Below are 12,446 nucleotides of genomic sequence, written 5' to 3'. Positions count from 1 at the left end.
CACCCGAGAGCTGGAGGAACAGGTCTTGGGGCATTTGCTGTTGCCGGATTTACTGTGTGCTGCTTTTGTCTTGGAAGAGTAAGCATTGGATTTATCCCTCAGGGACTGAGAGAGGGAAAGAGAAACAGGATGGGGAGCAGATGGAGGCTAAACACTTTAGTGTAATGAAGAAAAACCTGAAGACTTGTCATTGAGCTCTTCAGGGTTGTCTGGCCCATGCTGGATGATCCTCTATGAAGCGTAAGCCCCCAGGGGCACGGTCTGTGCTGTGTGCTGCATGCCCATCCTGGGGTCAACCAACAGTGCTAACACTTGGTTAACCCCAATGGGATGGTGCCCAGGAGGTAGAGGAAGCAGCTAGATTATATAAATAATGGTCAATACTCCTTAGTCATGGTTGAACTGTTGGTGAACAGAGATAAGGAAGGATTTAGTGGAACGTGCATATCATTACATCTCTCTGGGCTCATGATTTTGAGCTGAGTTACTAAATATCACTCATGCTTGGCACGTAGGACCTAATGAACCATGGTCAGAGAACCAAGTCAGAGATGGTAAACTGATGGCCTGGGGCTGAAAAATGTGGCCCACAGACATTTGTTTTGTTTTTTGATCTGCACAGTGTTTTAAAAACTAAGATAGTTGAGAACACTTAAAAGTTAGGAGCCTTTATATAAAAATCTAGATTTCCTCCTTCTTTTGACAGGTGGGGATACATGGAAGTGCAAGACCTCTGTTCCGGGGCAGCCGGGCAGGAGCTTGGTGGCTGCCACTCCACCTAGGCTGGGCAGGGTGCCGCTATTTGTGCCTTTTTGACTTGAAGACAGAGTATTGTCCACCACTTGTCACTGTTGTTTGTTCCCTTGTTTAGGTCTCAGCAGTCCTGCTGCTCTGGTTTCTTTTGTCTACAAGGCCTTGGGGCATTTGAGTTATTGACCTGGTATGTTGAGCCATGGTGCTTGACTGGTGACTGGGTGCTGGGTGCTGGAACTGAGGGGCTGCAGCGTGGTGGGGAGGGGGTGCCCTAGGACAGGGGTGAGGCGAGGGTGCATCCAGGGTCTCCCCAGCCTCTGTGTTGGGGAGGGTTCTGCCGGAGCTGGATGGTGTTGGAGCTTGGCTGCTGGAGATCTGGAGGCTCTTGCTGCACTAGAGGAAAATGCTTTTGCCTCATGTGACTTATTTGTCTGAAGTGGCCCATCTGCAGTGGAGTAAGATGAGATTTCTATCACACCGGTGTTTGCCTCTCAGTGGCTTGTCGAAAATGCTCTAGGTGGAAGGTGTCGGGTGGAGCTCAGAGGGCTGTGCCCAGGGCAGAAAGGGAGGTAGGCTGGTTATTGGGAATGTGTCTTGGTGGCAGGCCATGGTGGTGAGACCCTGGCTAGCCTGTTGATTGTCCAGGGGCCTCCAACACCTGCTTCCTTACAGGGTGGGGCAGAGGCTAGGGCTGAAGAGTGGGTTCTGAGTCATGTTCTTCATTTCTTCAAGTGTAGCTGGTTTTCTGGGGGAAGCTCTGTTACTTCTTATGTCCTGAGGAGGAGGTGCAGCGTAGAGCTCAGAGGGTAAAAGCGAAACAGGTCTGTGTCCTCAGAGCATTGGAGGGACCGCTTGGCTCAGGGTCGCCTGCTAGTCCTCCTGTCTACACTGGCGGCACCTGTGTGCTTCAGTCTTCCTCTCCCATGATCCATTTTCATTTTCTTGATTACTTTTTCCAAATGTCAGAGTTCACGTGTGCTGTTCATTGACAAGTAATATGGTTTTGGCAGAACGCTGGTCCTTGGGCTACAGAACTACTTTAGTGGGCTTAAAAATGGAAACAGCCCACTATTTCCATTTCCTCCAGGTGGAGGAAAGGTTTGAGTCACTGAGTTTGGGTTCTGAAGTCACCAGGATAGCCGGGCAAAGCCACATGGAGTCAGCCATGGGTGGGCCCTGGGAGAAGGGTCTCCTGCCAGAGGGGCAGCCTGACACAGACTTACTCCATTTCAAAATTTATTTTAATGATTTACATTGAATTGTATTTATATACTTGGTTTTAAATTAGGTCATATATTCACATGGTTCAAAATTCACAAAGAACAAAAGAGCATATAGCAAAAAGTATTCTTACCTTTTAGCCACACAGTTTTCTTCACTTTGTGTTGTCAATTTCTTGTCAAATCTTTCCAGGGAGATTTTATAAATATAGAAGCAAGTGAGTGTAATATATACATGCATACACACACACACACACACACACACACACACACATTCCTTCCCTATTTCTTATAATGACTTTGGTGAGATATAACTTATATACTATATTCACTCATTTAAAGTGTCCAACCCAGCCAGGCATGGTGGCTCATGCCTGTAATCCTAGCACTTTGGGGGCCAAGATGGGAGGATTGCTTGATGCCAGGAGTTTGGACCAGCCTGGTCAACATAGCCAGACCCCACCTCTCTTAAAAAAAAAAAACAAATAAAGTGTCCAACTCAATGGTTTTTAGTATATTTACAGAGTTGTGCATCTATCACTGAAATCAATTTTAGAATACATTCATCACTCCAGACTGAAACCATGAATCCATAGTAGTTAATCTCTATGTGTCTCTGAATTTTCTTTCTGTGTATAGATTTCCCTTTTCTGGTCTTTCATATACATGGGACCATACAATGTGTGGTCTTTTGTGAATAGCTTATTTTATTTAGTACAGTGTTTTCAGGGTTCATCTATGTGTGGCATGTGTCATTTCTTTTTATTGCCGTTATGTTCCATCGAATGGGTATACCATCTTTTATTTACCCATTCATCAATAGATAGATATTGTAGTAGCCTGTTCTCAGGGGCTGCTATAAGGAACTGCCTGAGACTGGGAAATTTATGAAGGAAAGAGGTTTAATTGCCTCACAGTTAAACCTGCATGGCAGGAGAGGCCTCAGGGAACTTATAATCATGGCGGAAGAGGAAGCAAACATGTCCTCATGGTGGCAGGAGAGAGAAGTGCAAAGTGGATTGGGGAAAATCCCCTTATAAAACCATCAAATCTTGTGAGAACTCACTATCATGAGAACAGCATGGGGGAACCACCCCCATAATCTAATCACCTCCCACAAGGTCCCTCTCACAACACATGGGGATTATGGGAACTACAATTCAAGATGAGCTTTGGGTGGGGACACAGCCAAACCATATCAGGTATTTAAGTTGTTTCCTTTTTGGGGCTATTATGAATAATGCTGCTCTGAACAAGTATATGAGTTTTTGTGTGGACATGTATTTTGATGGCTCTTGGGAATATACACCTAGGAGTGGAATTGCTGGGTCATATGATAACTCCATGTTTAACCTTTTGACAAACTGCCAAATGGTTTTCCAAATTGCTGTACTAGTTTACATCTCACTAGAAGTGTATGAGGGTTATGATTTCTTATATCCTCACCAACATTTGTTATTGTCTGTCTTTTTGCTTATAGCCATCCTAAGGTATAAAGTGGTATCTCGTTGTGTGTTTAATTTGCAATGCATTGATGGCTAGTCATGTTGACCTTGTTTGCCTTCGTGTATTGTGCATTTGTAAATCTTCTTTTGAGAACTGTCTATTCAGGTCTTTTGCCCATTTTACATTGGGTTATTTGTCTTTTTATTATTGATGGGTAAGAGTTCTTCATATATTCTACATAAAAATACTTTGATCAGATGTATAGTTTGCAAGTGATTCCTCCCATTCTATGGGGGTGTCTTTTCACTTTCTTGATTATATTCTTTGAAGCACAAAAGTTTTAAATTTTGATGAGTCCAATTTATCTAGTTTTTTCTTTTGTTGCTTTTGCTTCTGGTGTCATATTTAATAAGCCATTGTCTAATCTAGTGTCGCAAAGATTTATGCTATTTTTTTCTAAAAATTTAGCTCTTACATATAAGTCTTACATACTTATATGTAAGTTCCATTTTGAGGTAATTTTTGTATATTGTGTGAGTTAATTTTTTTAGATGATTTATAGGAGTCCAACTTTATTCTTTTGCATGTGGATATCTTTTCTATCTCTTACACATACACTATGCTTTTTACCTTGCTTTATAAAAATATCTTGTGTGTCTGAGTGGTTATTCCTAAAAAGCTCTTCATTCATTTATATAGGTGCTTAGTGTTCATTATATGGATGTAACATAATTTATTTAATCAGTCTTCTGTTAATGGGCATGTAGGTGTCATTTCACACATGTGGAAACATACCTGTAGGACAAATTCCTAGAAATGGAATTGCCGACTAAGGGCTATACCTTTTGTAACTGATGGATATTGTCACACTGCTCTCTGTATATGTTGTAACAATTTACATGTCCACAAACAAGTAATGAGAGAGTGTTTCTGTACATCCTTGCCAACAGTGTGTTTTCAGACATTTCTATTTTTGCTAAATTAATAGGTGAAAAATTGAATCTCTGTGAAGATCAAAATTACATTTATCTTATTGAAAGTGAGATTGGACATTTTTTCATAGTTAAGAATGCGGAGCCATTTAGGTTTGTGTGTGTGTGTGTGTGTGTGAACTGCCTGTGTTATGTTCTTTACCAGTTTTTCAATTAGATTATTGATCTTTTTTATTGGTTTTTAGGGACTATATATATATTAAGGAGATTAAATTTTAAAACATTTATAATATGTTAGCCAGGCGCGGTGGCTCATGCCTGTAATCCCAGCACTTTGGGAGGCTGAGGCGGGTGGATCACTTGAGGTCAGGAGTTCAAAACCAGCCTAGCCAACATGGTGAAACCCCATCTCTACTAAAAATACAAAAATTGGCTGAGTGTGGTGGTGTGTGCCTGTAATCCCAGCTACTTGGGAGGCTGAGGCAGGATAAACACTTTAACCTGGGAGGCAGAGGTTGCAGTGAGCCAAAATCATGCCACTGCACTCCTGGGTGACAGAGTGAGACTGTGTCTTAAAAAAAAACAAAAACCAAAAAACAAAAACCAAAATTTATGATGAGTTGGAAATAGTTCTCCCAGTATATCATTTCCTTTGACTTTTTTTTTTTTTTTTTTTTTTTTTTTTTTTTGAGATGGAGTCTCACTTTGTCATCCAGGCTGTAGTGCAGTGGCACGATCTCCACTCACTGCAACCTATGTCTCATGGGCTCAAGCAATTCTCTTGCCTCAGCCTCCCGAATAGCTGGGATGACAGGTGCCCACCACCATGCCCGGCTAATTTTTGTATTTTTGGTAGAGATGGGGTTTCACCATGTTAGCTAGGCTGGTCTCGAACTCCTGACCTCAGGTGATCTGCCCACCTCAGCCTCCCAAAGTGCTGGGATTACAAGTGTGAGCCACTGCTCCCCGCCTATTTACCTTGACTTTAAGACATTTTTATGTGTTTACATTTATCATCCTTTTTTAAAAAAATGGATTTTGGATTTCTCCCATGTTTTCTTCTAGTACTTCTATGGTTTTATTTTCTACATTTAAGTCTGATCCGTCTAATTTATGCTGATACAAAGTGTGAGATATGGGTGGTTATCAACAAAATATTTAATGAGTTACCTTTTTCTCACTCATTTGAAATGCCATCTTTATCCTATACTAGATTCCAGTGTGTATTTGGGTGTATTTCTGGACTTTCTATTCTGCTATAGCATCTGATTGTTAGTGTGGGATGCCACTGTGTATTAGTCTGTTCTTGCACTGCTATAAAGAAATACCTGAGACTGGGTATTGGCTAATGGTTCAGCATGCTGTACAGGAAGCATAGCAGCTTCTGCTTCTGGGGAGGCCTCAGGAAGCTTCCAATCATGGTGGAAGGCAAAGGGGAGCAGGCACTCACATGGTGGGAGCAGGAGCAAGAGAAAGAGCAAGGCGGGAGGTATCACCCACTTTTAAACCACCAGATCTCTCAGGCACTCACCCACTCACTATCATAAGAACAGCGCGAAGAGGATGGTGCCAAACCGTTCATGAAGGCCCACCCCCATGATCCAGTCACCTTCCACCAGGCCCCACCTCCAGCACTGGGGATTACAGTTCAACATGAGATTTGGTTGGGGACACAGTTCCAAACCTTATCACACTGTGTTCAGTTATTGTAGTTTTACAGCATGTTTTACTAATCTAACTCCTTTATAGAATTTTCATGGCTATTCCATTCTTGCTGCTTCTCCCATCCTCATGAATTTTGGAATCAGCTCATTTAGATCCCCAGCAGAAATTGGTCGGTATCTTACTGCATTTCACTGAGCTTGCAGATTAATTTAGATGGCTTGAAATCTTTATGAGATTGAAACTTCCTAGTCAGAGGCGCAGCGTGCCCTCCTTCTGTTGACACAAGCTTGTTTTGGTTGCTTTTGGTTATCGCGGGAGCTGGCTGGCAACCAAAAGAACTTGCAGGGGCACCTCTGGGTCCTGAGAAGTGTCTGTTGAATGCCGAGTCGTAGGGTTGGGGCACATCCAGAGGTCCGAGGTGAGTTCCTACCCTCTTGTTGGAGTGTGAAGGGCTCATGTTGTGGAGTGTGATGCATCTGGATTCGAGCTCTGCTTGCTTCCTGGGACAGGTCACTCAGTGCCTTCTGGCCTTGGTTTCCTTGCCTTGATAATGGGAGCCCTCCTTGCCTCACTGGCGGGAGGCTGTGATGAGATCACATGTGCATTAGCTGGCACTCAGGGTTGTCGCCTCACAGTGCCTGCTGGTACCGTCACCCCAGTGCTGTGGATGACGCAGGAGGGGCCTGTGTGCCTGGAGGTCATGTGTAGACAGTGCCCCGTGGCAGGGATGTGCCTATGAAGAGGGGCTGCAGGATTCGGAAGAAGGAGAAAACCCAGCCTGGTTGCGATGTCCTGCAATGGCCTCAGGAGAAGTGAGAAAGCCTGTGGCCCCCTGGAGTAAGTAGAGTGAGAAGTGTTAGAGGCTGTGTCATCAGAACCCGGACCACACCTGGCAGGAAGTAGAAATGGATGAAGAAATTCGGGTTCATGACGAGAGGCTTGCTCAGAAGCACACCAACAGGGGAATTGCAGGGCTGACCCCTGAACCTCAGTCGCTGCACTTTGAGTTGGTGGCTCTGACTGTCACACTCAAAACTGAACTGAGTCTAAAGGGTTTAGTCCTGTTTTATTCTCTTCGTGGGTGAGGGCGAGGAAGGAAGGCCTCCCCCTCTGTAGGCTGCCAGGGCCTGGTGTCCTCCCTCGGCCTCCTTGTTTGTATAAGTGGGACGTATGAGCACTCACACGAAACCTGTTTCTGAGCAGCTGGTGAACAGTCCATTGAGTAAACAAACCCTCTGGCTTCAGGATTATATTTCAGACTAAAAGAATTTTGAACCTCTCCTCTCTCTTGTTAGAAATGAGTTTTGGTTCGGATGGAAGGGTGCTTTATCTCTTCTAGAAATTATCTGGCCTTGCCTATTCCTGTGAAGACAATATGGACATTTATTTATTAATAAAAGGACCACTTTACATCTCAACCAGGTTGAGGCCTCCTGGTTAACAGTAGCCTATCTCAGAAAAGAAAGATTCCTGCTGTGGAAGATGGGCCAGCAGTCTTTTCACTTCTTTATTTCCCAAAGTTCGTTCTTTGATGGGGAGTGCTAGCTGGTCTGTCCTTGTAGGCTGCCGTCCCACTGGCCCCCAGCACCACCCAGTACACAGCTGAGGGGACAGGCTCTGGACGTGGGGGCACTGGGCTGCGAACCCAAGTCTGATTGCAAACCTGGGCTCTTTCTAGAACCAGGTGCTTTGTCCTTGAGCTGCGTGTGTCTTTGAGTAAAATGAGGGCCCTGTCCCCAAGGCTGGCCCACTGCCCACGAATGGACCCAGGGGATTTCAGCTTCATCACAGCCGTGTAGTCTCTGCCTTTGCCTCAGGCTCATGGCAGTTCTGGGAGGTGCAGTTGCCGGTTGTTTGTCCTCATTGAAAGCCTGCTTACAGGTAGCCCTAAGCAAAAAATGTCAACTCTGCTTCTGTGTGTGTGGTTCATTGTTTCTATAAGGGGCAGAGTCCTGGGGTTTAAACAGGCTTGAGGATATAGGAAAATTATACTTACATATGGAAGGCTAACTATTAAAATGTGGAAAAAGCCCCAGGAAGGTGTTGTGATTACAGTGGTGGTTTCCCTTCGTGCAGTGCCTTCCCTGAGACCTCGAGGCAGTTAAGGTTTGCTAGGTTGTGTGTGTGACAGAAAACCTGGCCCCGGCTGGCTTTGGTGAAAGAGAGAGTAGCCTTGTAGTTTTTAAGGAGAGCTGGCTTGGTAGTCGATTTAGGACTTGGTCTCTCTCTTTCCAATCTGCCCTCTACCATATTGCCTTTACTTTCTGTTTCTAGATGGTGGCATGATGGCTTATGTCATCTGGGCCTCAAGGCCAGTGGGAGGGACACCCACCTGCCCTGTTCCAGCCTTCACAGCAGAGAGTCATTGGCTCGGGTTGGTCGTGCCTTCCCCTGCCCACTGCCCTGCTCCTCTGCCATTGCCATGGCCTGGGGGGTAGCAATGCCTGGATTGGCTCAGGCTCCAGGCTCACGTCCACTCCTGGAACTGGGGGTGTGGCCAGGCCCATGTGGGAGGGGCTTCACCCAGGGCACAGAGGATACAGATGCCAAAAGGAGGGAGGAAGTGGGCGTGGGCTGGCTGCAAACCAGCACACCTGAGGGAGTCACAGTTTAGGAAGGGTTTGTTAGAAGTGTGTCCAGATTAGTGTGGAATATGAAAATGTGAGCTGTGCAAAGTGACACATTCCAGAGTGTGATGAGGGAGGGCAAAGAGTTTTTTGGCGCTAAAGTCAAGTGGCTGCGAACTCCGGTGAGGCGTGGAGTGGGGCTCTTGGATGGGAGTGAGTGGGGGTGACAGAGCAGGGCATACCAGGGATGACTCAAGGCGACCTGTTGGGGAGGTCTCAGCTGGAGCACCCCCTGGCCCTCTCAGGGGTCATATGTGCTCACTATGCCCTGTGATTTTCCCGAGTTGCTTCCAGTCTATACTCTCAAGCCCCATGCAGCCTATCTCCGCGGCACATTTCAGACCATGGGTAGTTGTGCGGCACTTTCACTCACCCACGTGGGAAGGAGGCCCCACTGAAAGTCTCCTGGTCACTGGACTGCCTGCTTCAAACCCTAGCTCTGCCACTGATTAGCTACATGGCTGTGGGCAAGTCGGCTTCCCTGAGCCTCAGTCTCCTCAGTTGTTAGACAGGGATACCAGCAGCACATGCCTTGAAGCGTGCTTTAGATGTTTTACATTTGATCACAAATTTAAATCGCTTAGCTGGCACCCAGGAAAAGTTAAACTTTTAGGGACTATTATTATTATTATTTTGAGTCAGGGTCTCACTCTGTCACCCAGGCTGGAGTGTGGTGGCGAGATCTCGGCTTGTTGCAACCTCCGTCTCCTGGGTTCAAGTGATTCTCCTGCCTCAGCCTCCCAAGTAGCTGGGACTACAGGCGTGAGCCACTGTGCCCAGCCTTATGGACTATTATTTTAAAAGACACGTTAAAGAATCTACACTTAGAGAAGAGAGAGCCAGACTTGGTTAGGGTTTTTAGGCTTCGAATGCACTCTATTTTCCCATTTTCTCACGTTTTCTCTCTCTCTGAGGCAGAACTGCACTGTTCTCTGAGCCCACTGTTCAGACAGGCTTGCGGATCTGAAGGTATGTGGAAAATGCTGATTGGCTCTGTTCCTAAATTTCCCGGCTTCTGACTGGTGCATAGTTAGTAAAGGAAGAATTCTCCTTTTAATTTGAGAAATGTGCTGGGTGCGGTGGCTCATGCCTGTAATCCCAGCACTTTGGGAGGCTGAGGCAGGCAGATCACCTGAGGTCAGGAGTTCAAGACTAGTTTGGCCTACATAGCGAAAACCCATCTCTACTAAAAATCCAAAAATTAGCTGGGCATGGTGGCAGGCGCCTGTAATCCCAGCTGCTCTGGAGGCTGAGCAGGGAGAATTGCTTGAACCTGGGAGGTGGAGGTTGCAGTTAGCCAAGATTGTGCCACTGCACTCCAGCCTGGGCTACAGAGCGAGACTCTGTCTCAAAAAAAAAAAAAAAAAAAGAAAGAAATATGTGAAGATTTCCTGCACCCTCAATCCCACTTCCCTGTCCCTGCACCCTCAACTCCATTTATACGCTATGAGGTTTCCTGCTACCATCCGCGAAGACCCTTGTCAACACAGCCGGTGCACCACAGCTGGGAACGTGTCTCGATGTCTTTAAACTTCTCAGCAGTCTCAGTTTTATCCCTATTAACACACCCAGCAGTGGAAACAGCAGAAATTGCTCTTCTTTTGTAAAGAGAGTTGTGTTTCAGAGAGTTGATTGTTTGAAATGTAATTTCTCCAGCTCATTATGTCAAAACTGGCATTTGAAGCATACATGAGGACTCTTGCTAATAGCCTTTTGTATTTGGATTCTTCAGGGAAACAGAATCAATAGGGTGTGTGTGTGTGTGTGTGTGTGTGTGTGGGTGTGTGTGGAGAGATAGTGAGCGAAAGAGAGGAGAGAGAGAGAGAGACAGAGAAAGAGAGAGAGAGAGAGGCTTATCGTAAGGAATCAGCTGATGTGATTATGGAGGCTGACAGGTCCCAAGATCTGCCATCTGTAAGCTGGAGACCCAGGAGGGCTGATGGTATAAGGTCCAGCCTAAATGCGGACAAGCTGCAGACTCACAAAGAGCCGATGTGTTAGTTTGAGTCCCAAGGCAGGAAAAAAACTGATGTCCCAGTTGGAAGGCAGTTAGACAGGAGGAGTTCTCCCACTCCTTGAGGGAAAGCTGTGTTTTTTTGTTCTATTCAAGCCTTCAACTGCATGGATGGGGCCCACCCACATTAGGGAGGGCCATCTGCTGTACTCAGAGCCCGTTGATTCCACTGTTAATCTCATCCAGGGCCATCCTCGCAGACAGTGTGACCAAACGTCTGGGCACCCTGTGGCCCACTCAAGTTGTCACAGAGCATTAGCCATCACACCTTTGGTATATAATCTTGGGATTTTTTATTTCCTGGGGTTGCTTGGCTGCAGAGGCTGGCATTAAAGCATCATGGGCCACAGTGTTCTGGATGCTAGCGTAGTTTTCCTCCTTCTCCTATGGGTTGGGGTTCAAGGGCCTTATTTTAGCTCAGCAGGCTCATTTTCTTATTGTAAGACTCTATATACGTGAATGATAAGATTATAGAGAAGGAAAGTGATTTTATAGGTGTCAGGGATTCACTCCCATGAGGCAGGGCTAGGGCTGAAGACAGAGCCTCCGGAGCTTTCTCCCAGGGTCAGCCATCAGTCCTGCCCCAGGGCCAATGACTACACGAGGCATCAAGTTCCAAGTATGCAATGAGGTTTGCTAATCCAATTTTGCATTTTCTGGGCTTTGTGGTGCCTGAAAAAGAGTCACAAACATGACTATGACTCCTCAGCCTGAAGCCGTCTGGGTGTGTCCTTTTGAGGGTCCACAGGGGACTTTCTCATGTCCTTGGGTTTGAAGGACATTTCTTTTCTCCCGTTCCAGATGCTTGTTTAGCTGTGTGTCAGAAATGGACAGCCCAGCCTTGTCCCTTTGCAGAAGCCAAGCTCTCCTCCCAGACAGCCGCAACTTGTCCGGAGAGAGATTTAGGGCTGTCTTTCTGAGAAAGGCGTGTAGATCGGGAGTTTGACCCTAGTCTCAAAGGCTTGAGGATGGGTGGTTTTTCATGTGGTTTTGTCTTGGATTGCTTGTGGCATTTGGATCCACTTCTGGGCTTAAATTTCCCCCTGCCAGTGTTGAGATGGAATTGGTCTGGGGTTATAAGTCATCTAGGGCAGAATGCAGAGATTTATTTTACTCCTTTGGAGGGAGGTGGAGAGAAGTATCTCTTGGGGGAGAGAATGTGGATCCAACTGTTTATAAAGGTAGCATTTAAGTCCCACACAAAGCTTGATTTCTAAATACTGTTGTCCCAGGGCTACTGGCAAGGTGACTGGCAGTGTGCCCCTTTGGTTTATCCTCTTATCACCAGGCTTGGCATTTGCACCATGCTTTATCCTGTGTTCAGAATCCGGGTAGATTCACACCCATGCCTGTGTGTCCGTGTGTGTGCGTGTGTGTGTATACCGGTGATGAAAGCAGAGACGAAAAATGCTTTGTGATAAGGCTTGGGTATCATCAGACTTTACAGCTGATTGTTCCCCCTCTTCCAAAATCTTACTCCTTTTCCGTACCCAAGGAACCATGAGAAGTGGGTGCTGTGGGTTGTATAGGTTGCTTTATGCCAAAGACATGACGTGACACTTTGGTAAACAATGTTTTTGGTAAATCATATCAGTTAAGAGAAGACCAAGTTGCTGTTGCTAAGAAATTTTTAGAAAATCTGAAAGTGAAGTTTTGTTTTCATTCATTTTGCCAACTTACTGGAGAGTTTCTCCGTGCTGAAGACAAAGAGATCTCGCGTGTGTCTTTGATGTGGTCTCCACTCGGGAATAGCGTATGGTCAGCAAGAAGAATGTGTAGGGAACCTGAT

At 45.9% G+C, this 12,446-nt stretch overlaps 1 protein-coding gene across 1 annotated transcript in view, besides 5 other annotated features; it reads left to right on the top strand.

The window, feature by feature from the left end:
* The window catches only part of FAM174B (family with sequence similarity 174 member B), a 38,328-nt gene that overhangs the window by 10,184 nt on the left and 15,698 nt on the right, over nt 1–12,446 (top strand). The window lies entirely within an intron of this gene.
* Nucleotides 408–1,187: an enhancer, noted in NCBI's record as "NANOG-H3K27ac-H3K4me1 hESC enhancer chr15:93187635-93188414 (GRCh37/hg19 assembly coordinates)". NCBI's record gives its function as "activates a minimal SCP1, AML or CMV promoter by ChIP-STARR-seq in naive H9 embryonic stem cells {active_cell/tissue: H9 hESC(naive)}" and the evidence as "EXISTENCE:reporter gene assay evidence [ECO:0000049][PMID:30033119]".
* Nucleotides 1,188–1,968: an enhancer, noted in NCBI's record as "H3K27ac-H3K4me1 hESC enhancer chr15:93186854-93187634 (GRCh37/hg19 assembly coordinates)". NCBI's record gives its function as "activates a minimal SCP1, AML or CMV promoter by ChIP-STARR-seq in naive H9 embryonic stem cells {active_cell/tissue: H9 hESC(naive)}" and the evidence as "EXISTENCE:reporter gene assay evidence [ECO:0000049][PMID:30033119]".
* Nucleotides 1,449–1,568: an enhancer, noted in NCBI's record as "active region_10115". NCBI's record gives its function as "activates an Ori minimal core promoter by ATAC-STARR-seq in GM12878 lymphoblastoid cells {active_cell/tissue: GM12878}" and the evidence as "EXISTENCE:reporter gene assay evidence [ECO:0000049][PMID:35858748]".
* Nucleotides 5,863–5,962: an enhancer, noted in NCBI's record as "active region_10114". NCBI's record gives its function as "activates an Ori minimal core promoter by ATAC-STARR-seq in GM12878 lymphoblastoid cells {active_cell/tissue: GM12878}" and the evidence as "EXISTENCE:reporter gene assay evidence [ECO:0000049][PMID:35858748]".
* Nucleotides 6,726–7,015: an enhancer, noted in NCBI's record as "active region_10113". NCBI's record gives its function as "activates an Ori minimal core promoter by ATAC-STARR-seq in GM12878 lymphoblastoid cells {active_cell/tissue: GM12878}" and the evidence as "EXISTENCE:reporter gene assay evidence [ECO:0000049][PMID:35858748]".

The sequence above is a fragment of the Homo sapiens genome, chromosome 15 (assembly GCF_000001405.40).
Source record: "Homo sapiens chromosome 15, GRCh38.p14 Primary Assembly".
NCBI classification, from domain to species: Eukaryota; Metazoa; Chordata; class Mammalia; order Primates; family Hominidae; genus Homo; species Homo sapiens.
The sequence above is the reverse complement of the archived record's forward strand: the minus strand, read 5'-3'. Positions and strand labels throughout refer to the sequence as shown.